The following is a 21,104-nucleotide window of genomic DNA, read 5'->3' on the forward strand; positions in this document are numbered from 1 at the left end:
GTACCAGTGAATGAGGAAATGCGTAAAAGCCCTTGGTACTGCGAAAGTTGTCAGAATCAGAATGGAGTTCCTTATGTTAAAACACACACACACACACACACACACACAGGCACAAAGCCTGATATATAGACACAAAGAAGGTTATGAAAAGGGGGTTCTCACATTTGTAGGCTTGATAACTAAAACTATCACAAAAGCTCTGCAAAAATAACAACTTTGCACAAAGGCCGTTAAAACCTTACACAAAAAATACTTTTTCGAAGAAATCTTCCCAGCAACTTTTTGTGCAAACTCAGACCAGTGTCACCCTTCTTATTGATCTTTGTAGCCAAAGATAATTATTTCAAAACAATGATATAATCCTTCTCATTTTTTCCTTTGAAAACCTTTATCTCCCTTTACCTCCCTGACTCTGCACATCGTTTACCATGGCACACATATTCCCATGGATATGTCCTTGCCCAGACAAACGTCATCTTCTCTTAGAGAGCCTCTGTCTACTATTAGGTTCACAGTTCAGTAACGACCCAGCCGTTTTTCTAATCACAGTGAAAATGGTTGGCAATATTCATTCAGAGCTCATGCTAAAACTATTTACTGGATACCTGCTTTGGGCCAGGCACTGGGAATACACCAATAAACATAATAGGGGGAAAACCCTGTCTGAAAGTGGATAACTTGTTTGGTACCAGTTGCTTGAGGTTTGGAGAATTTTCTTGGTCACATTTTGCCATATCAAGAGTTACGAGTTTCCTTAGTCAGACAGCACATTAATTTGATCTCCAATACTTCACAGAAGTCCTTTTTAGTAGCCCATGTTTGCATGGATTTGAATATAGTCCAGATCAAATCCTGTCCCCATCCTTCCCTCACTCCTGCTCCTACCCACAATGAGTCTGATCAGGAAACAGACCTGAATTCTCTTCCCTCTGGCGTATTAGTGCAGTGCCAAAGCAAATTAATTGACTTCTGAGGGTGGTTGGGTGGGGGTGGGCAGTGGGAATGGGTCTGTGGATTGTACTTCAGTGATTGATGACAGCAGCTTTATGTAGATTCCAGGGAATCAAGACAGATGAAGAGAACATGATTCAATAGATGTAAGAAGTTTTTAGCAATCAGAATGCTGGACCTTTAACTCTTAAAGAGCTTTACACCTGGCAGGTGCTCAATAATTGTCAAATTGGCTATGAGTAACATTCCGTTCCATTCCTTTACATCCCCGCCCCCTGAATTGGCTTATTGCCATCTGTGACATCTATGACAGATACCTACTTCCCCCTGTTCAGATCTCCATATTTACAAGCTGATACCATTTCTGCTGGAGAGCTATTGTGTCCACAATAGTTTTCCTCTGAAATCCCCACACCCTTTCTTTGTCATTTGGCCATGAAGCCAAATCACCAAGTCAGGATTCTGTTCTGCAGGTTTATGTCTTTGTTCCAGGTTCAGTGACAAGTAATGACAAGCCAAGGAAGAGGAGTTTTCTCCCCTTTTGTCATTTCCAGGCCTCTGAGCTCATATGTCCTCACCTTGGGGCTGTGGCAGGCTTCAAAGACCAGAGAAGAGGGAAGTTTTAAGAGAATGAAACTGTACAATGAGAAAAGCCACTTATGATTTTTTGTTGTTGGTGGTGGTGGCGTTGTTACCAATCTGGGAAATTCTGAATTGAGTTACATTTTAATAAATTGTTAGCATTTATGCTCTGACTGAATTACTCTTTCAGCCCTTCATTTAAGACCAACAGAGTGATGGGTTGCAGAAGGTGGGGATAGTGTGGTCAGAGGTGAAGCTGAGAGGGTCAGCAGGGGACAGAGCAGGTTGGATTCTGTCCTAAGAGAAGTAAAAACACTGGGGGGAAAGGGGTGTGAGATCTGTGCTTTTAAAGATCACTCAAGCCTCTGTGCAGAGAATGTGTTAGGAACATATATTAGTGTCCTCAGACTGCTGAAACAATGAACCACAAACTGGTACGTCGGCTTAAAATAGGAGAAATGTACTCTCTTGCAGTTCTAGAAGTCAGAAGTCTGAAACCAAGGCGTCAGCAGGGCCAAAATCCGTCTGAGACTGGGAGGACCCTCCCTGGCCTCTCCCCAGCTTCTGGTGGGTTGCTGGCAATCCCAGCTGTTTCTTGGCTTGCAGCTACGTCACTCCAGTCTCTGCCCCTGTCATGACATGGCATCATCCCTTTGTGTCTGTGTTTTCCTATCGAGACACTGCTCACTAGATTAGGGCCCACTCTAACCCAGTGTGACTTCATCTTAACTGTAATTCAGTTAAGAATTACATCTGCAAATAGCCTATTTCCAAATAAGGTCCCGTTCACAGGTACTGGGAATTAAGTCTTCAATATACGCTTTTAGGGACACAATTCAACCCACCACAGAAGGATGGAATGAATGGGAGAGACCAATCCTGTGGGTTCCCGAGGTGGTGGAAACTTTAGCTGTTTGGGGTGGAGGCAGAGAAGAGCTGGCCTTAGGAAGTGAACTTGACAGAACTTGGACATGGGGATGAGAGAAGCAGAGGCATCAAGGATGACCTTTGGAATGAGTAGGTAAGTGTCTTTTGTGGTTAGAGAGCCCCCAGGATGGGCAGGATTGTGAGAATACAAGCTATGCTATCAGTCTGGGACATGTAGGATTTGAGTTGCTTGTGGGAGATGCCAGTGGAAATGTTGCCTAGAGACTTGAATAGGAAAAAGAGGAGATACTTACGTAGCCCTTGCCATCCTGAGCACTTTGTGTGTGAGTGTTGTATGTTAAAAAGGAATAATAATAGTACCTTCATGATTGGGCTGTTGTGAGGATCAAATACATACAAACACTTATACATGTACGTATGTGGGGGTTGTGCATGTGTGTGCACAGATGAGGAAATGCAGACTCCAGAGCATAAATTACCTGCCCGACATCACATAGCTGGTGAGGGGTAGATAAGGATTTTTTTTTTTTTTTTTTGGCAGGGTCTCACTCTGCTGCCCAGGCTGGAGTGCAGTGGTATGATCTCAACTCACTGCAACCTCCGCCTCCCAGACTCATGCGATCCTTCCACCTCAGCCTCCCAAGTAGCTGGAACTACAGGCATGGGCCACCATGCCTGGCTAATTTTTATATATTTTGTAGAGACAGGTTTTTGCCATATTGCCCATAGAACAGGATTTAAACTCAGGTCTTCTAAACTTATAAATCCACATGCTTAACCAATACTTTATACTATCTGCATTGGCCTCTAGTCACATGTGGCAATTTAAGTTAATTAAAATTAAGCAAAATTTAAAATTCAGTCCTATACTAGCACTAGCCACATTTTAGGGGCCCAATTAGCCACATGTGGCTAGGGGCTACCACACTGGCCAGGACAGCAGGGACATTCTCATCTTCACAGAGATTTTCCTAGGACTGCCCTGGTCTAGAGCCCAGAAGAGAGATATTGGGTACGGATTAAAAGAATCTCTAGAGGAATCTCTCATAGGAAATTCTGTGATTTCTAGGGTCCAAATTCTCCCTGAATGAAAGCTTAAGAGGCTTTCCTCATCATCCAAAAATAAAAAAAAAAAAGAGGCTTTCCTCACTGTCCAATTTCATTATCTTAAAACCTCTCTCCTCCATGGTCTTTCAAGCCTGCCACAGACCCAAGCTGAGGACTCGTCGGCTCTCAGAACTGGAAATGACTGAAGAGGGGAGAAAGACTCCTTTCCTATGGCTAGTCATTACTTGTCACTGAATCTGGAACAAAGACATAAACCTGCAGAACAGAGTCCTTGATCCAAATTCTGCTGATTTTTAGGACTCGAATTCTGCTTAAATAAAAACTTGCATTTAAAAATGAAATACTTCCAAGCATTTTGGGAGAGAATGATTTCTATATAGGCCTCTTAGCTCTTTAGTATCCTGTATAGTCACAGATTACATCTTCATTCATTCAGAGAATTTTCTCCCAAAAGATGCCATGGCTGCCCAGCCAGGCCAGCCTGAATGATATTGGTTACATGCCCCAGGTCCAGAGCCATCTGTCAAATCATGTGCAGGGCGGACCATGCAATCATATGTCTGCCTGGCCCCCTCTGATAAAGTGGTTTGGTGGACATGGTAGCTGAGGGAACAAGCATCTAGAAAGAACCCCCCGCCCCCGACCCCAGGCCCACACCACCGCATTATAGAAAGCATTATGTAAATCTTTTGAAAGATTTCCTCTTTGGACAGACTGCCTAAATTTGGCACAGATGAGAAATATAATGAGAGCACTTACAAAATCATTACAGAAAATATAACAATTTCCAGTCTTCCTGCATCACCCAGATGAGAGATCTCAAGTTAATTTCTAAGACATGCATAAAGAGAGGAGAAATGAAACACACACAACAATGTGAAATTTAAGGCATCTCTGGCAAAGTATAAACATCCACCATTTCAAACCTCTTTTTGAACACTTCAGCCAGCTCTTACATGACTGTCAACTGTGCCGTTTATGTCTTATCATAATAAAATGAATTTACAGAGCTTTAGTGTTGAAAGAGCCCTTAAAGACACCTTGTCTCATACCCTCAATTTACAGAAGGGGAAACTGAGGCCCAGAGGGAACAAGAAACCTCAATATATTCCTTGTTAATAACCTTGGCCACCTGGAAATACACCTGTTTCAGAAACGGAATTAATTTCTTTATCTTTTGCAAGAACTACAATTTTCTCCATTTAAAAATTATACACCTGGGTAGGCCCTTAATTTAAAACTACTGACATTAATCAAGAAGCATCCATTGTCTAAAAAAATCAGTTTGAGATTTCAGACTTAAACTCAGAGTTTAAACATTCTTTTCCTTCAGGTAAATAGACAGAAATATAACCTGGCCAGGAAACAAATATTATCGTTAGCCCTGATGCTGACAATACAACCCAATAACATCACCCACCCACCACCCACCATGGCCTCTTGTATTGTAATGTGAATAAGGATAAATAATGATAGATTCTGACGCGGACGAGCCAACCAGAGTGGAGGCTCTGTCCCTGGTGATTTAGGTATCAGTCCTAGAGATTTAGCTTATGTGGGTTATATTTGCTGATACCATGATAGCTATTAAAACAGGGAAATTTTAAACATATTTCTCAATTCATTGGACATAACCATAATAAACCCATTCTATGTTAATAAAAATAGCACATATTTTGGAAACTATCCATATTTTTCAAAATTCCATTTAGTGGAAAAAGTGCCACTATCTATATATTTTTTGCAAATATTTTGAATGTCCGGCTTTAAAGAAAACAGCGGGAGTCTCCTCTCTGCTTCTGTATTCAGTCTGTTGTGAATTTGTTTGGTTGGAGTATATGAAGAAATTCTGGCCTCGAGCAGATATTTGAAAAGGGAGGAATATTTTAATAACCTGGAACAGATAATTGTGGATATTTTTCTTTGATATTACACCAAAACTCAATACACTGTAATGTCTTAACAGTTATTTACTGGGTGGAATCTGAAACCATATCACTGAATTTTCCCTACTCCGTTCCATTAAAATCCACTGGTCTCTCTTGCACTCTGGATGACTCTTTTGCCTGCACATGATTTTAGAACATGATGTGTTGATCATTAGGAAGCCATTGGCTATTGAGTTATGCAGGTATTTCCTGTGTGGACATATTTCAGCCTATAAAATTAAAAAGAAACTATTGCTATTATAGTAAAAATCTTTAATTATTAGGAAGCTTTCATGCTTATATTGGCAGACACAAGTTTTCTAAAATTCTGATTTTTGCTTGAAAGATTACATTTATCAGTGGGAACAGATACTGTGCATTGATTGATTTTCTCGAAGTGAAAGCTCACTTTGTTCATCATCAAGGAACCGTATATCAGATACCCTGGCGTGAATCATCACAGTTTCTTGGTTGTTCTTTCAAGTAAAATGGTGTTGCATTAAAAAAAAAAAAAAAAAAAAAAAAAAGTGGCCTGTTCAGCTGGAAACTGAAGCAATCACGCAAGTACTTTTCTTTGAGATAAACCTTCTGCCTTGATGTACAGCAGCAGTGCCTTGTACATACTTCCCATCCACTCACGAAGAGTGTTTAAAAGATGTACACTCAAGTGTTGCAATTTAAAACAATTAATATTTTTTACTACTTCATGAGTTCTCAAGCGATTACAGTAATTGAGTAAATTCACCAATTATTTCATTCTTAAATGAAACTAGTTTTCTTTGTGTTTCTTTTTGGTTTTTCCTGCAAGTGCGTGAGCAAGTGCATGGTGGTGAAGAATACAATGGGGAGTTTGGTACCACTGCCTTCATTTGTGCTGAGGCATCAGCAATTCCACTCACCAACGTTATTGTTTTGCACCATCAGTGCAAATGTCAGACAGCAAAATAGGCAAACAATGCCTTAGTGTTCTTATGAAAGAGTTTGGCCTTGTGGACTCTCTTACAGGGCTGTGGAAACCATACTTTGAAAATTGCTGCTACAGAGAAACTTTTCATATATACATGGATGTTTATTACCATAGCATTTTTGGTAATGAAAAACTGGAACCAACCTAAATGACCATCACTAGGAGAATGGATAAATAGATTATTACCTATTCATATAGTGAAATGTTCTACAGCAATAAAAATGAATGAACTAGAACTGTAGGTGTTAACACACACATCCTCCCCCAAAATGAAAAATCAATGATAAGTAAAAAAAAAAATAATAATGTTATGGGATGATGATTACTGTGAACCATTATTTAAAAGTCCAATCCAAAACCATAAAAATTACACATTGTTATGAATATATAGCCATATCTATGCACACAGATACATATAGTGAAGGTTTAAAAACATGCATTGAAATGCTAAGTATAATTTAGGATGAGAGTTACTTCTGAGGAAAAAGTGAGATGAGGGAGGGGTACACAGGAAGTTTCAATTTTATCTGTAACGATTTACATCTCAACACTTCGAAGCAAATAGGGTAAAAGTATGAAGGTTTGAGAGAACTAGGTGATGGGCATCATTATGTCATTCTCTATTTCTTTCTGTATGCTCAAAGCATTTTGCTATCAAATTTTCTTTTAAATAGGAAGACTGTATAACAAGAAAAGGTTTTATTAAAAATGTTTCATTTTTAAAGACAGACTTTCCCTTTTTATTATAACTGGCAAGAATCTTAGTGCTAAATTGAATACCCAATCTTAGTTCCTGAAATTGTCTTTTTTGATAAGTTTTTGTTTTGGTATAAAACTTATAAGATTTAAGGAAAATACAAAGAATTCCAAAATACCCCGTGTGAAAATTTACCAGTTGTTTATACTTTTTGCCCCATTTGCTTTATTCTAGTCATCCTGCGTGCACACTGTCTCTCTCCCTCCCCACTCCCACCCTTTCGTTTGCTGCTGGTTCTAATCATACATTGCAGGACCATTCTCTCTCTTTCTTTCTTTCTTTCCTTCCTCCCTTCCCTTCCCCTTCCCCTTCCCCTTCCCTCCCTCCTTCCTTCCTTCCCTCCCTCCCTCCCTCCCTCATTTCTTTCTTTCTTTCTTTCTTTCTTTCTTTCTTTCTTTCTTTCTTTCTTTCTTTCTTTCTTTCTTCCTTCCTTCCTTCCTTCCTTCCTTCCTTCCTTTCCTTTCCTTTCCTTTCCTTTCCCTTTCTTTCTTTCTTTCTTTCTATCTTTCTTTCTTTCTTTCTTTCTTTCTTTCTTTCTTTCTTTCTTTCTTTCTTTCTTCCTTTCTCTCTGTCTCTCTCTCTCTCTCTCTCTCTCTCTGTCTCTCTCTCTCTCTCTCTCCCTCTCTTTCTTTCTTTCCTTCTTTCCTTCTTTCTTTCTTCTCAGATGGAGTCTTGCTCTGTCGCCCAGGCTGGAGTGCAGTGGTGCAATCAAATCTCACTGCAACCTCCGCCTCCCAGGTTCAAGCGATTCTCTTGTCTCAGCCTCCCAAGTAACTGGGATTACAGGCGCGTGCCACCATGGCCGGCTAATTTTTGTATTTTCAGTAGAGATGGGGTTTCATCATATTGGTTAGTTGCTCTCGAACTCCTGACCTCAGGTCATCCACCTGCCTTGGCCTCCCAAAGTGCTAGGATTACACGCGTGAGCCACCGCTCCTGGCTGACTTATCTCTTTCTATTTCAACAGTCTTGTACATGTATTTTTTGGAGGAAGGGAAAGGATTGTTGAGATATAAATTATAAATAAGTATTATCACTCTAAGTCATTATGTAAATGTAAAGTGCCATGTCTATTATTTTATTAATTATTGTAAATAATGTCTTAGAAATAAGGGGCAAAAAAAACAAAAGAAAAGCCCACTTAAACCTCATCACCAATTAATATTTGGTGTTATTTTACATGTGTACATATAAATACAGCTGTGCTCATCCTGAATAAACAAGTTCTACTTCCTGCTTTGTTAACTAACAGTAGTATTTTATGATTTTAAACGTCTCCCCACCATTGGTAATAATAAATCAGAATTCTTTTCATTATTTCTCCTATAGTTAGAGAAGATAAGTGGCAATCATGAATTAAGATGTAGAGGATAAGAAATTCTATTTACCAAAACTAACTACAGAAGTTCTGTTTTCATCATTTCTAATTCTAGATTTGTGCAACTCCAGGTGGTTTCCATGTGATTCTGGTAAGAATATTCTCTACTAATTAATATTATTTTTATTTTTAAGGTCAGTATCATTGACAGTGTTCAACAGGAAACAGATGATCTTACTAAGCAAACAAAGGTGAGGTTTGGAAGTCAGTTTCTTAATATATAAAATCAGTCTCTACACTTGACTTAGAGACAGAATTGCAGTTTGGAGTTCTTTAGTGCCCTGCCAATGTTTGGTTTGCAGAAAATAAAATAGTAACTTCATGTGGCCTTTTAGAATCTTGAGGGACTGCCAGAGAGTTGCAGGTGATGCTTTTATGTCTAATTAGAATGTGAGCAGCCTGTGAACATCAAAATTCAACTGTACACCATAAGCATGGAGGTTTGTCCACATCATTTTATTCTTTATGGAATTAAAATATATTGAACTTCATATTTTCCATTGCAGCAGTCATGCACCTACCACTGTGAAGTTTTGCCATATCCTCATGCCACGTTGTGATTATTTACTTGGTATTGTTCTCTTGGTCAATTCACTCTATCATTAAGTAATTTTTTTAAAAAAGAACTTACATTTTTGTTGATAAAATTAATGTGGCTAGAAACCAACTTCACTTATAATAGATGGTAACTGTGAAAATATATAATGCAAACAAAACAATGCTTTAAATTTCATATATTCTCTTACCTGACAAATATCTGAGCCCAAGATCTGAGTCTAAGTCACTCTCTTTCTCTTTGTGTACATGTCTGCACATTTGTTAAAAGGGATAGTCATAGACAGAGAGGCATTAAAGGTCTGTCAGCACCTAATCATCAATAATTTCAGGAAGACTGAGAGATAAATGGAAGTGGGAAAACTTTCTCAACAACCGTTTGCATGTCTACTATAGGACAGCCATTGGCACATAGCAGACAGTCATCTTTAATGCTATGTCTGGATAGCTCCTGAAATTATCTCAAGAACCACGTCAAATCATCGGACAGCATCCACCCCGTGGTTAGAGATGACTCTACAGCTATTAAGAAGACAGGCACTTGGGTTTTCCAAGCTTAGGTGGCTGTTCTGGCGATGAGAGAATGCAGGCCAGGTGTCAGCACAGGGCCTTTACATGAAGTAAGGGTGTGATAAATCCTGGCTGTGAGCATCACTGCCATCCTCATTGTCACCAGTGTCACTATAAGTTCCAGGAAAAGATCTACCAGCCTCTACGGCGATCCAAGAGAAGATGGGTTATCACCACCTTGGAGCTGGAGGAGGAAGACCCGGGACCCTTTCCCAAACTCATTGGTGAGGTAAGGTGCCTACTCTTAAGGAATGACCCCATCATGCCCTCTAAGTAAGCACGCCCCTTTGGCCAGGAAGATTAAGTCTTGAAAGGTTATGTGCTAGTGAGGCCAGGGAGTGAAGTAGAGCAGAAGGAGCACTGGCCTGGGGTTCAGGAAGCCTGGGTTCTAGAACTCACTCTAACTCTACCTGGTTATGTGAGTTTGAACGAGTCACTTCTCCATGTGAGTGTCTGATGAGAATCTCATACAGCAACAGGGTGGTTAATTCCAACTGACAGGTCTGCTTTATTTGGCCCATGCAGAGGCTTTTTTTTTTTTTAAATATTATTTAAAAACAGGGAGATTGTCGGCCAGGCGCGGTGGCTCACGCCTGTAATCCCAGCACTTTGGGAGGCCGAGGCGGGCGGATCAGGAGATCAGGAGATCGAGCCCATCCTGGCCAACATGGTGAAATCTTGTCTCTACTAAAAATACAAAAAATTAACCAGGCATGGTTGCAGGTGCCTGTAGTCCCAGCTGCTCGGGAGGCTGAGGCAGGAGAATGGCATGAACCCAGGAGGCGGAGCTTGCAGTGAGCCAAGATCGCACCACTGCACTCCAGCCTGGGCGACAGCGAGACTCTGTCTCAAAAATAAATAAATAAATAAATAAATAAATAAATAAATAAATAAATAAGGGAGATTGTCTTAAAAATTTTGCCCTTCTAAAGACTTTTAAAAATGGAAAGTTCTGGCCACAAGGAACCCACATTCCCACATTACAACAATTAGGCGGGGCTTGAGTTACTCAGAATACCAGTTTCCACCCCTCCCTATTGCCTCCCTCATGCTGAGGGTGAGCACTGCCTTGAAGAAGTCACATGGTATTGGAATAGCAGAATCTTTACACCAGGCTCATGTTGTTTATTTCCACTACCTTCCTAGTACCAATGGGCCTTTGAATTAAGTGCTGATTAAGTTCTGCTATAGCTGTGGCATTCTATGATTCTTAGAAGAAGGAAATAGTGCACGCCTACTGTTAAAAACAAACATAAAGAGTACAGAAAGTTTTCAAGTCTCAGTGGTTAAAAGTGTATATGCCTAAGAGTCAGGGGGAGTGAGTGGGTTCATATTCCTACTGCACCACCTCCTTGCTGGGTAAGTTAGAGATTTTTAACGTGTCCTCATCTGTACAATGCGGTCAATGATATTGCCTACATTTCAGAGATGTTTTAAAGATTAAATAGGTTAAGGCAAGCAAGGCATATTGTAGGCCCACTCATTCTAAGCTCTTTCTAAATGTTAGTTGTGTGATCACTACTTCTCTTTCCTTCAAGGGATAATTGATATTAATAAATTGGTATGTGTGGTTCCAGATATTTCTCTACAGATTTTCTGATGTGAATCTGCATCCAAGAAATGAGATCACACTTGGTGTGTTGTTCTGCTTGCCTTTCTTGTTTAGTGATGTGTCCTGCTAGTCATTCCGTGGCAGTGTAAATACATCTTTAAAGGCTACAGAGTATCCCATGCTATGTGAAGGAAGTATCATTATATTATTTTTTTCATGTTGATGAACATTTATGCTATTTCCAAATTTTCACTGTTACAGACCAAACTGAAGCTAACAGTTCAACATCATTGTTCCTGCATCTCAGCCCATCTGTTTATTTCTTTGGCAGATGTGCCATTGCTGGGTATAATTTCTTAAAGATGCCATTGATTCTTAGCCTTGATACTTGATTATCATAGTGGCTTATTCTCATCCTCCTTTTTTCTTCTTTCCATTTTTCCTCCTTCCAGCTGTTCAATAATATGTCTTATAACATGTCACTAATGTATCTAATCAGTGGACCTGGTGTGGATGAATATCCAGAGATTGGTTTGTTTTCTCTAGAAGATCATGAGAACGGAAGGATATATGTTCACCGCCCTGTCGATCGAGAAATGACACCATCTTTCACGGTATCTAAAACTTGATATATTCTAAGCTCGGATTTAAAAGCTCTTGCAAGACTGTTGTATTTGGTAAGCATTATTTAAGCTGACTATGTGCCAGGTTCCGGGAGATTGAGAAATTATGCCTTGTGACAAGCTTTACGAGTATGCCTGAGACTTTTGTAATCTTCTTTTAGAGTTGTGGACTTTGGCTTTGTAATGATTTCTGCAATCGATGTGAGCTGCTATAGGTCTTTATTCTAATGACCAGTGTCCTAGCATGATCGGGATATCAGAAAGCATTTGGGTATAGGGTCACAGAATGTTTATAAAATGGGCTAATTTATTTTTTGATGAGTGACTTCTGAAATATGGAGACAAGCCATAACAGACCCAATGGGTTGCCCAATAACTGATGCATGAGCAGTTGCATACCTGTTGACAATGTCTTATTGTGAGTGCAGGTGTTCTTTACGATTTCATCACTGCAACACTGTGGTTTACTATGAAGTTGAAATTCAGGTTGTAAACTAGGAAAGGAAATTATAAAGAAAAAAGCCCTGAACCATGTATCACATTACTCACCTAACATCATAGGAAGTCCTTAGGTAGTCAAACTTTGTTCTATTTTGACTTCAGTGGAATGGAGCTGCTGGGAACTGGGCTTGGTTCTCAGGCGTGCTTGGCTGTACATTTGTTCATTAACTCTTTCAGGGTGGAAAGATGTTGATTAACATTCAAGAAAAGTAATAGTTGAAGCTTTTCTCCAGTGATCTCAAAGTACTTATATACACAATAAAAGATATACCCTTAACTCACTGATAGGCTCTGAATCTCTAATTTTTAAATCGGTGAAAATTGTTCTAAAACTCCAATGAACATGCAAAGATGACTCTCTAGGTCTTCCTTATCTGTATGAATGCATGCCTCCCTTCTGTGCAGAATTCACAGTGTCTGTTAAAAAGAAGGACTTTTAACAGTGCCTGTTAAAAAGAAGAGTAGTCATAAGGAGACCCTGAGATAGCACTTCTCAATCTTTCATGAGCAAACAGATCACCTAGGGATCTTGGTAAAAATGCAGATTCTGTTTTAGTAGGTCAGGGTGAAGCCTGAAAGCCTGCATGTCTAGCAAGCTCCAGGTGATGCCCATGCTGCTGTTCCTCGGGCTTCCACACATTGAGTAGGGAGGACCTAGTGATGATCATGGTCTGTGCAAGGATGGAACCAAACATTCAGTGCTCACTTGTTGTTGTTGCTTGTTTGCTTTCAATATTTTATTTTTTCCTTTCCTTTTATTATTATTATTATTTTTAACTTTCATTTTAAGTTCATGTACAGGTTTGTTATATAGGTAAACTTGTATAATGAGGGTTTAGTGTACAGGTTATTTCATCATCCAGGTATTAAGCCTAGTACCCACTAGTTAGTTTTCCTGATCCTCTCCCTCCTCCCACCCTTCACCCTCTGAGAGACTCCAGTGTCTGTTTCCTTCTGTGTGTCCATGTGTTCTCATCATTTAGCTCCTATCTATAAGTGAGAACATGCAGTATTGGTTTTCTGTTCCTGTGTTAGTTTGCTAAGGATAATGGCCTCCAGCTCCATCCATGTTCCTGCAAAGGACATAATCCCATTCTTTTTTATGGCTGCATAGTATTCCATGGTGTACATGTACCATATTTGCTTTATCCATTCTACCATTGATAGGCATTTAGGTTGATTTCATGTCTTTGCTACTGTGAATCCTGCTGCAATGAACATACCCATGCATATGTCTTTATGATAGAATGATTTAAATTCCTTTGGGTATATACCCAGTAATGGGATTGCTGGGTTGAATAATATTTCTGTTTTTAGCTCTTTGAGGAATCACCACACTGTCTTCCACAATGGTTGAAGTAATTTACACTCCCACCAACAGTATATACATGCTCCTTTTTATTCTGCAACCTCACCAGCATCTGTTGTTTTTTGACTTTTTAATAATAGCCATTCTGACTGGTGTGAGATGGTATCTCATTGTGGTTTTAATTTTCATTTTTCTAATAATCAGTGATGTTGAGCTTTTTTTCATATGCTTACTGGCCACAAGTATATCTTCTTTTGAAAAGTGTCTGTTTATGTCTTTTGTCCACTTTTTAATGGGGTTTTTTTTCTTGTAATTTTAAGTTCCTTATAGATGCTAGATATTAAATCTTTCAGATGCAAAAGAAACTATCAACAGAGTAAACAGACAACCTGCAGAATGGGAGAACATTTTTGTGAACGATGCTTTTAACATTTTAAATGATGTATTAAGGGTTGGCATTCATAATGTCTAAAATGGGACTTTGTGTCTAAAAGCTGATAATGCTAAAGCCAAATATCTAACAGCATTTCCTGAAACTCGAAGTTGAGTTGGAAATGCTTGGTGCATCACAGATAGATCCTAGGCACCATTTAGAGCAAAGAGTGACAGTGTGGGGTGGGGGGAAACACATGGCATCCCCATTAATTCTGTTATGTCAGGTTTTCAGGGCCCTATGCTTGGAGCTCCCTGGCTAGGCCAAACCCATGTTCTGATCCCCCAAACATTGACCACAGTTGTCTTTTAATATTGATTTAGGTACTTATTTGATCCGTGGCCCTGTCATTTAACTACAGACTTCCACAAGGAAAGATACAGGGTGGGGATTCTGAGGCATGCCCCAACCTTGCCTGTCACTCTCCGTCTCATTACCCTGTTTTATTTTCTCCTCAACACCACTCATCACCTGAAATGTGAATTTTGTGTTTAATTATCTGTTGATAGTTGATCTCCTCCATTAGAATGCTGATCTCCCCTCTTAGAATGTAGTTCTAAGAGGGGAGAGACTCTGCCTTATTGTTGACTTTGGGGAAAGTCTGCCATTGCCCCAGGGTCAAGATCAGGGCTCCTCACATAATAGGTTCTCCCTTAATCATGTTAGATGAAGGAGTAAATGAATGAACAAGCAGAGTAAAATGTAGCCTCGGCCTTGCTGGGTGTTGTGAGTTGAATTGTGTCTCCCAAAAATACATGTTCAAGTCCTAATTCATGGTACCTACCCCTGTGACCTTATTTGGATATAGGGTCTTTGTAGGTGTAATCAAGTTAAAATGAGGTCATACTGGATTAGGGTGGGCCATAACCCAGTGACCAGTATTTTTAGAAGAAGAGAGAATCTTTGACACAGAGACAGACGCAGAGGAGAATGCCAGGTGAAGGTGGAGGCAGAGATTAGAGTGATGCCAAGGAACACTGAGGTTTGCTAGCAACCACCCGAAGCCAGGAGAGGCCCGGAAGAGTCTCTCCTTCGGAGCCTCCAGAAGAACCAACCCTGCTGACTCCTCCATTTCAGCTCTAGCCTACAGAGCTGTGAGAGAATAAGTTCCTAGTGTAAGCCATGGGGGTCTATGGTATTTTGTTACAACAGCCACAGGAAACTAACAGCCAGGGGCTTACACACTATTTAGGAGCATATGAAATGGTCCAATGAGAAGGATTACCAACAAGGAAGGGTGGCATAAGACATGTCCTATAAATTAGGACGTGTCCTAAACACTACACAAATTGAGCATCCTAGCTTAACCATCTGCTCCTGTAAGAGAGCGTTTATTGTTGGCTTTGGCAGTCCATCAAGATAGTACATTATTAAAAATCAAGTAAGCCTAATGTAGTGGCAAAAAGACATTCTAGTAGCACTTCTTTACTCTTGAGCATCCTGATGGGGTCTCTAAAACCAGCCAAAAGAAAAATTGTGTTCAGGGGGTGGTGTGGGGGAGGCTAACATTTATTAACTCCATGCATGTACAAGAAAGCAGTAGCCCTGGTTGAGAATTACTGTAAGATTTGAGACAGAGGACAGCAACAGAAAAAGTTTCAATTTTTTTCTGTGTATGGACCTTATCTATTTATATCAAAATATGCTCATTTTTGTAGAATACAAAGCTACCCCAAAACCCATCTTTTTATATTTCTCAAAATAATTATTTGTTAATTTTTTTCACCACACAGTCTAACCTATGCAGTAGCGATTTTGTGTTGTGCATTTGGCGCTGAAGGTGTTCCTATGTGCTCATTTGCATGTAAGGCCGCAGATCTTGTGCCTGTAATTTCAAACAGCCATGTGATGTATCAAGTTAATGCACCATGGTTTGTTTATCCAAAGGTATAAATCTTGAGGCTATAACCAAAGGCTGGAAACACTTTCCAAGTGCAGAAAATGTCCATGACATTTCTTTTCTCCATTGTAACCCGAATCCCTAGAAATTCTTAGCATCTTGCCAAAGAATAAACAGCACTCATGTTTCTCAGGCATCTTATGGAACTAAAGGTCTCATACGTAGCTTTAGGATAATAAATGAAATATAAAATAATAAACATAAAACACACAAGTGGTTCTTTTTTTAAATGGAAGGAGTACAGTTGGCACAGTTTTACAGCCAGAAGTCAGGGTGATTAAGGAGCAAAGAGTTGCCAGCACAGTCATACATTATGGAGGAGAATGTAGAGATGGTGAGTGAGAAAGCCAATTTATTTGCACAAAAATTTAAAAATGTATGCTGGAGTCCCTGCAGCGGACTAGCTCAGTGGTAGAAGCCCTGAAGCCTCCCTCAGTCCTGCTGTGGGGGAGGAGGAGCACTGACCTGCGCTAGACGTAGGGGCTGCTGTGCTAGGATACCTGGTGGGACCACGGTGATGGAAGCAGAGGAATGAGCCACAAGTCTGCAGGGAAAGGGGGCTCAGGCAGTCATGCGAAACAGTACAGAGGGAAAGACATTTAGGCCCCTGAGGAAGGGGATGGAGAGAGTGTTGCCTAAAGCTTTCAAGGCCCTTAGAGGCCCCCTGGGAGGGCCACCGACCCTGGGCACTGAGTAGCCATAGAGTGAAGTGAGGAAGAATCGGCGGAAGGTGCAGTCTTGATCCCTGACTGGACTTGAATCTGGGCTACTCTACTTCCAAGCTGAAGGTGAAATAGTCACTTAGTCTCTCCATGGTGCAGAGCTGGACAGCAAGGGTGCCTTCCTCCAGGGCTTCCGCGGGGATGAGCAGAGGCCATCTACGGGAAGGGCTGGTGCTGGTGAGTCCGCCCTGGGCCTGGCTGAAGCTGGCAGCCAGGCTTCTGCAATAAACCTTTTTACCCCAAGCAGGATACTGTACCTGGCGACCAGTTGACCCTTGAGAATCCAGTGGTCTGACTGCAGAACAGGCCTCTGCCTGGACCACCCTCGTGCCAGGATCCGTGCCCTTTCCCACTCCCTTTTCTGCGACTCTGAACTCCTGCCTTTGCCCACAGCCTTTTCAGCCTTCAACAAACAAAAGCACCCTTTATACTAGAGCAATGAGAGATTCAGGAGCAAGCCTGATTCGACTTGCTTTTAAAAATATGTATATTTATTTAAAATACACATGTATATTTTCTTATAGTTCATATTTATTATATTTTATTAATATATATATTTATTTTGTAAGTAGGGACATCATTTTTTCAAATTAATGGACTTTATTTTTTAGAGCAGTTTTAGATTGACAGAAGCACAGAACAGAAAGCACAGTTCCCATCCTCCCCTCCCCCTACCCCCTCCCTTCAGATTCCCCTATTATGAACATTTTGCAGTAGTGTGTGCATTTGCTATAATGTATGTGCTACATTTGCTATAATTGTTGAGCCAGTATTTTACATGACTATTAACCAAAACCCATAGTTTACATTAGGCTTCACTCTTGGCATCTTACGTTTTATGGGTTTCGACAAATGTGTCCACCATGACAGTGTCGTATAGAATAGTTTCACTGCTCTAAAACTCTCTGGGCTCTGCCCATTCACCCCTCCCTACCCCCAGAACCCCTGGCAACCACTGGTCTTTTTACTGTCTCCCCACTTTTGCCTTTTCCAGAAGGTTATATAGTTGGAATCATACACTATGTAGCCTTTTCAGACTGGCTTCTTTCACTTGGCAATATCCATTCAAAGTTCCTCCATGCCTTTTTTTCATTGTATAATATTCTATTGTGTGGATGGACACAGCTTATTTACCTATTCACCTACTGAGAAACATCTTGGTAGCTTCCAGAGTTTGACAATCATGAATAAAGCTATAAACATGTGTGTGCAGGTTGTCAGGTGCACATACATATTCAACACATTTGGAAGGCTGATAGTTGGATTGTGTAGCAAGAGTACATTTAGTTTTGTAAGAAACTGCCAAACTGTCCCCCAAAGTGGCTGCACCATTTTGCATTCTCCCCAGCAATAAATGAGAGTTCCTATTATTTATACTTACTTTTTTTTTTTTTTTGAGATGAAGTCTTGCTCTGTCACCCAGGCTGGAGTGCAATGGGGTGATCTCGGCTCACTGCAACCTCTGCCTCCTGGGTTCAAGTGATTCTTCCACCTCAGCCTCCCGAGTAGTGGGATTACAGGCACCCACCATCATGCCTGGCTAATTTTTGCCTTTTTGTAAAGGTGGGGTTTCACTACGTTGGCCAGGCTGGTCTTGAACTCCTGACCTCAGGTGGTCCCCCCACCTCGGCCTCCCAAAGTGCTGGGATTACAGGTGTGAGCCACCACGCCCGATCTTATATTTACTTTTTACATATAAAATTAATAGGGCTTCTTACAAAATTTTGTACAATATATGAAAAATCTCACCCCACCCACAACTTTTCTCTCTGGTCTAATTCCACAGAAGGAGAAAATAATTACAGAGAAAATATAACATTCACTCTTCACTTATTAGATTTGATATGAAGTTTTTAATAACTTCTTTGACAATATAATGACCTGAGAACCCTCAACTGCCTTTATTCCTTCCAAATTTATATGTATTTTACTTTTAAAAATTTATTTTCAAAACTTGTGTACGGTAAAATTTGTATCTCTTGATGTATAGTTCTAAGAGTTTTGACAAACCCTCCTTCAACCCTTAACCCCTGGAAACCACTCATTTCTTCTCCCTCCCAATACATTTACCTTGTTTAGAACATCATAGAGACGGAGTCACACAATACATGGCTTTTTAAGTCTAGATTTTTTTCACCTCACATAATGAATCTTATATTCATCGATGTCATTGTGTGCATCAAGAGTTTCTTCTTCTTCTATTTTTTTTTTTTTTTTTTTGAGACGGAGTCTTGTTCTGTCGCCAGGCTGGAATGCAGTGGTGCAATCTTTGCTCACTGCAACCTCCATCTCCCAGGTTCAAGCAATTCTCCTGCCTCAGTCTACTGAGTACCTGGGACTACAGGCGCCTGCCACCATGCAAGGCTAATTTTTTGTGTTTTAGTAGAGATAGGGTTTCACCATGTTGGTCAGAATGGCCTTGACCTCCTGGCCTTGTGATCTGCCCACCTGGGCCTACCAAAGTGCTGGGATTACAGGCGTGAGCCGCCGTGCCCAGCCGAGTTTGTTCTGTTTTATCGCTGAGTAGTATCTTGCTTCTCACTTTATAAAACTAAAGGGTGCTTGGACTCTTTTCAATTGTGGTGAGATAAAGCTGCTATGCACTTTTTTTTTTTTTTTTTTTTTTTTTTTTTTTTTTTTTTTTTTTAGATAGAGTTTCACTGTTGTCGCCCAGGCTGGAGAGCAATGGTGCGATCTCAGCTTATTGCAATCTTGGCCTCCTGGGTTCAAGCGATTCTCCTGCCTTAGTCTCCTGAGCAGCTGGGATTACAGGCACCCACCACCACACCTGGCTAATTTTTATATTTTTAGTAGAGTCGGGGTTTCACCATGTTGGCCAGGCTGGTCATGAACTCCTGACCTCACGTGATCCACCTGCCTCAGCCTCCCAAAGTGCTGGGATTACAGGTGTGAGCAACCATACCCAGCCCACATATGGCTTTTATGTGAAAGTCAGTTTTCATTTATTGTAGGTAGATACCTAGGAGTGGCTTAGTTGGATCACATAAGTGTATGTTTAACTCGATAAGCAATTCCCAAACGATTTCTCAGAATAACTGAACAATTTTGCATTCTCATTAGAAACGTATAAGAATTCTGATTGCTCTGCATCTTTGGCTGCACTTAGTATTGTCAGGTTTTTTCAGTTTAGCTGTTCTAAAAGGTGTGTAGCGATATCTCATTGCAGTTTTAATGTGGATTTCCCTAGTGACAAATGATGACTTATTTACTATCTGTATCTCTTTTTTTGGAGAGGTGTCTGTTCAAACCCTTTGCCCATTTTAAAATTGTATTGTTTTTGTCTTTTTTTTTTTGAGATGGAGTTTCTTTCTTGTCTCCCAGGCTGGAGTGCAATGGCGCAATCTCAGTTCACTGCAACCTCCACCTTCTGGGTGCAAGCAATTCTCCTGCCTCAGCCTCCCGAGTAGCTGGGATTACAGTTGCCTGCCACCATGCCTGGCTAATTTTTGTATTTTTTTTAGTAGACACTGGGTTTTGCCATGTTGGCCAGGCTGGTCTTAAACTCCTGACCTCAGGTAATCCACCCGGCTAGGCCTCCCAAAGTGCTGGGATTACAGGCATGAGCCACCACACCCGGCCATATATTGTTTGTTTTCTTATTGAGTTTTGAATACAAATCCTTTGTCAGCATATGAAATGGAAGTATTTTCTCTCAGGCAATTGTCTTTTCATTTTTGTCTTCTCATTCTTACCTTTGTCTTTTCATTCTTTTAACAGCATTTCTTACAGAGCAAAAGTTATTACATTTTGATAAAATCCAATTCATCAATATTTTCTCTTCTGGATCATGTTTTTGGTGGTGTTATCTAACACATTGTCATCAAGATTTTCTCCTTTTTTTACTAAAAGTTTTATAGTTTTATGTTTTACATGTATGTCTGTGATCCATTTTGAATTAATTTTTGTCTAAAGTGTGAGATATAGACCCAGGTTTATTTTTTTTTGCTTATGAACATCTAATTGTTTCAGAATCATGTGTTGAAAAGGCTAGCCTTTGTATTATTCTCAAAAATCAATCAACCATACTTGTGTGGGCCTATTTCTAAACTCTCTATTCTGTTTCAGTGATGTATATATTTATCTTTTCATCAATACTATACTCTCTGGATTACTGTATTTTTATAATAAATCTTGAAATTATATAGTGTGAGTCCTCTAACTTTGTGTTTCTTTTTCAAAATGATTTTGCGTATTCAAATTTCTTTGCCTTTCTATATAATTTTCAGATCAGCTTGTTGATATCTCTAAAATATTCTGCTAGTCTTTTGATTGGGATCATGCTGACTTTATAGGTCAATTTGGAAAGAACTGTCATCTTGGCAATACTGAGTCTTTCAGTCTGTAAACACAGTATATCTTTTCATTCAATTAGGTCTTCTTTGATTTCTTTCATCAGTGT

The 21,104-nt window shown here is 40.1% G+C and overlaps 1 protein-coding gene across 2 annotated transcripts in view; it reads left to right on the forward strand.

Moving 5' to 3' along the window:
* The window catches only part of CDH26 (cadherin 26), a 77,512-nt gene that overhangs the window by 1,891 nt on the left and 54,517 nt on the right, over positions 1 to 21,104 (forward strand). The window contains exons 2-4 of one of the 2 annotated variants that reach the window (NR_145482.2): positions 8,654 to 8,710; positions 9,751 to 9,873; positions 11,649 to 11,810. Coding sequence is in view for 1 of the 2 variants with exons in the window: in NM_177980.4 (NP_817089.1) it covers positions 8,654 to 8,710; positions 9,769 to 9,873; positions 11,649 to 11,810 (324 nt within the window). In the remaining variant the exon portion in view is untranslated. The remainder of the gene's footprint in view (positions 1 to 8,653; positions 8,711 to 9,750; positions 9,874 to 11,648; positions 11,811 to 21,104) is intronic. The other variant, NM_177980.4, reaches the window with a different exon arrangement.

The sequence above is a fragment of the Homo sapiens genome, chromosome 20 (assembly GCF_000001405.40).
Source record: "Homo sapiens chromosome 20, GRCh38.p14 Primary Assembly".
In the NCBI taxonomy this organism is placed as follows: domain Eukaryota; kingdom Metazoa; phylum Chordata; class Mammalia; order Primates; family Hominidae; genus Homo; species Homo sapiens.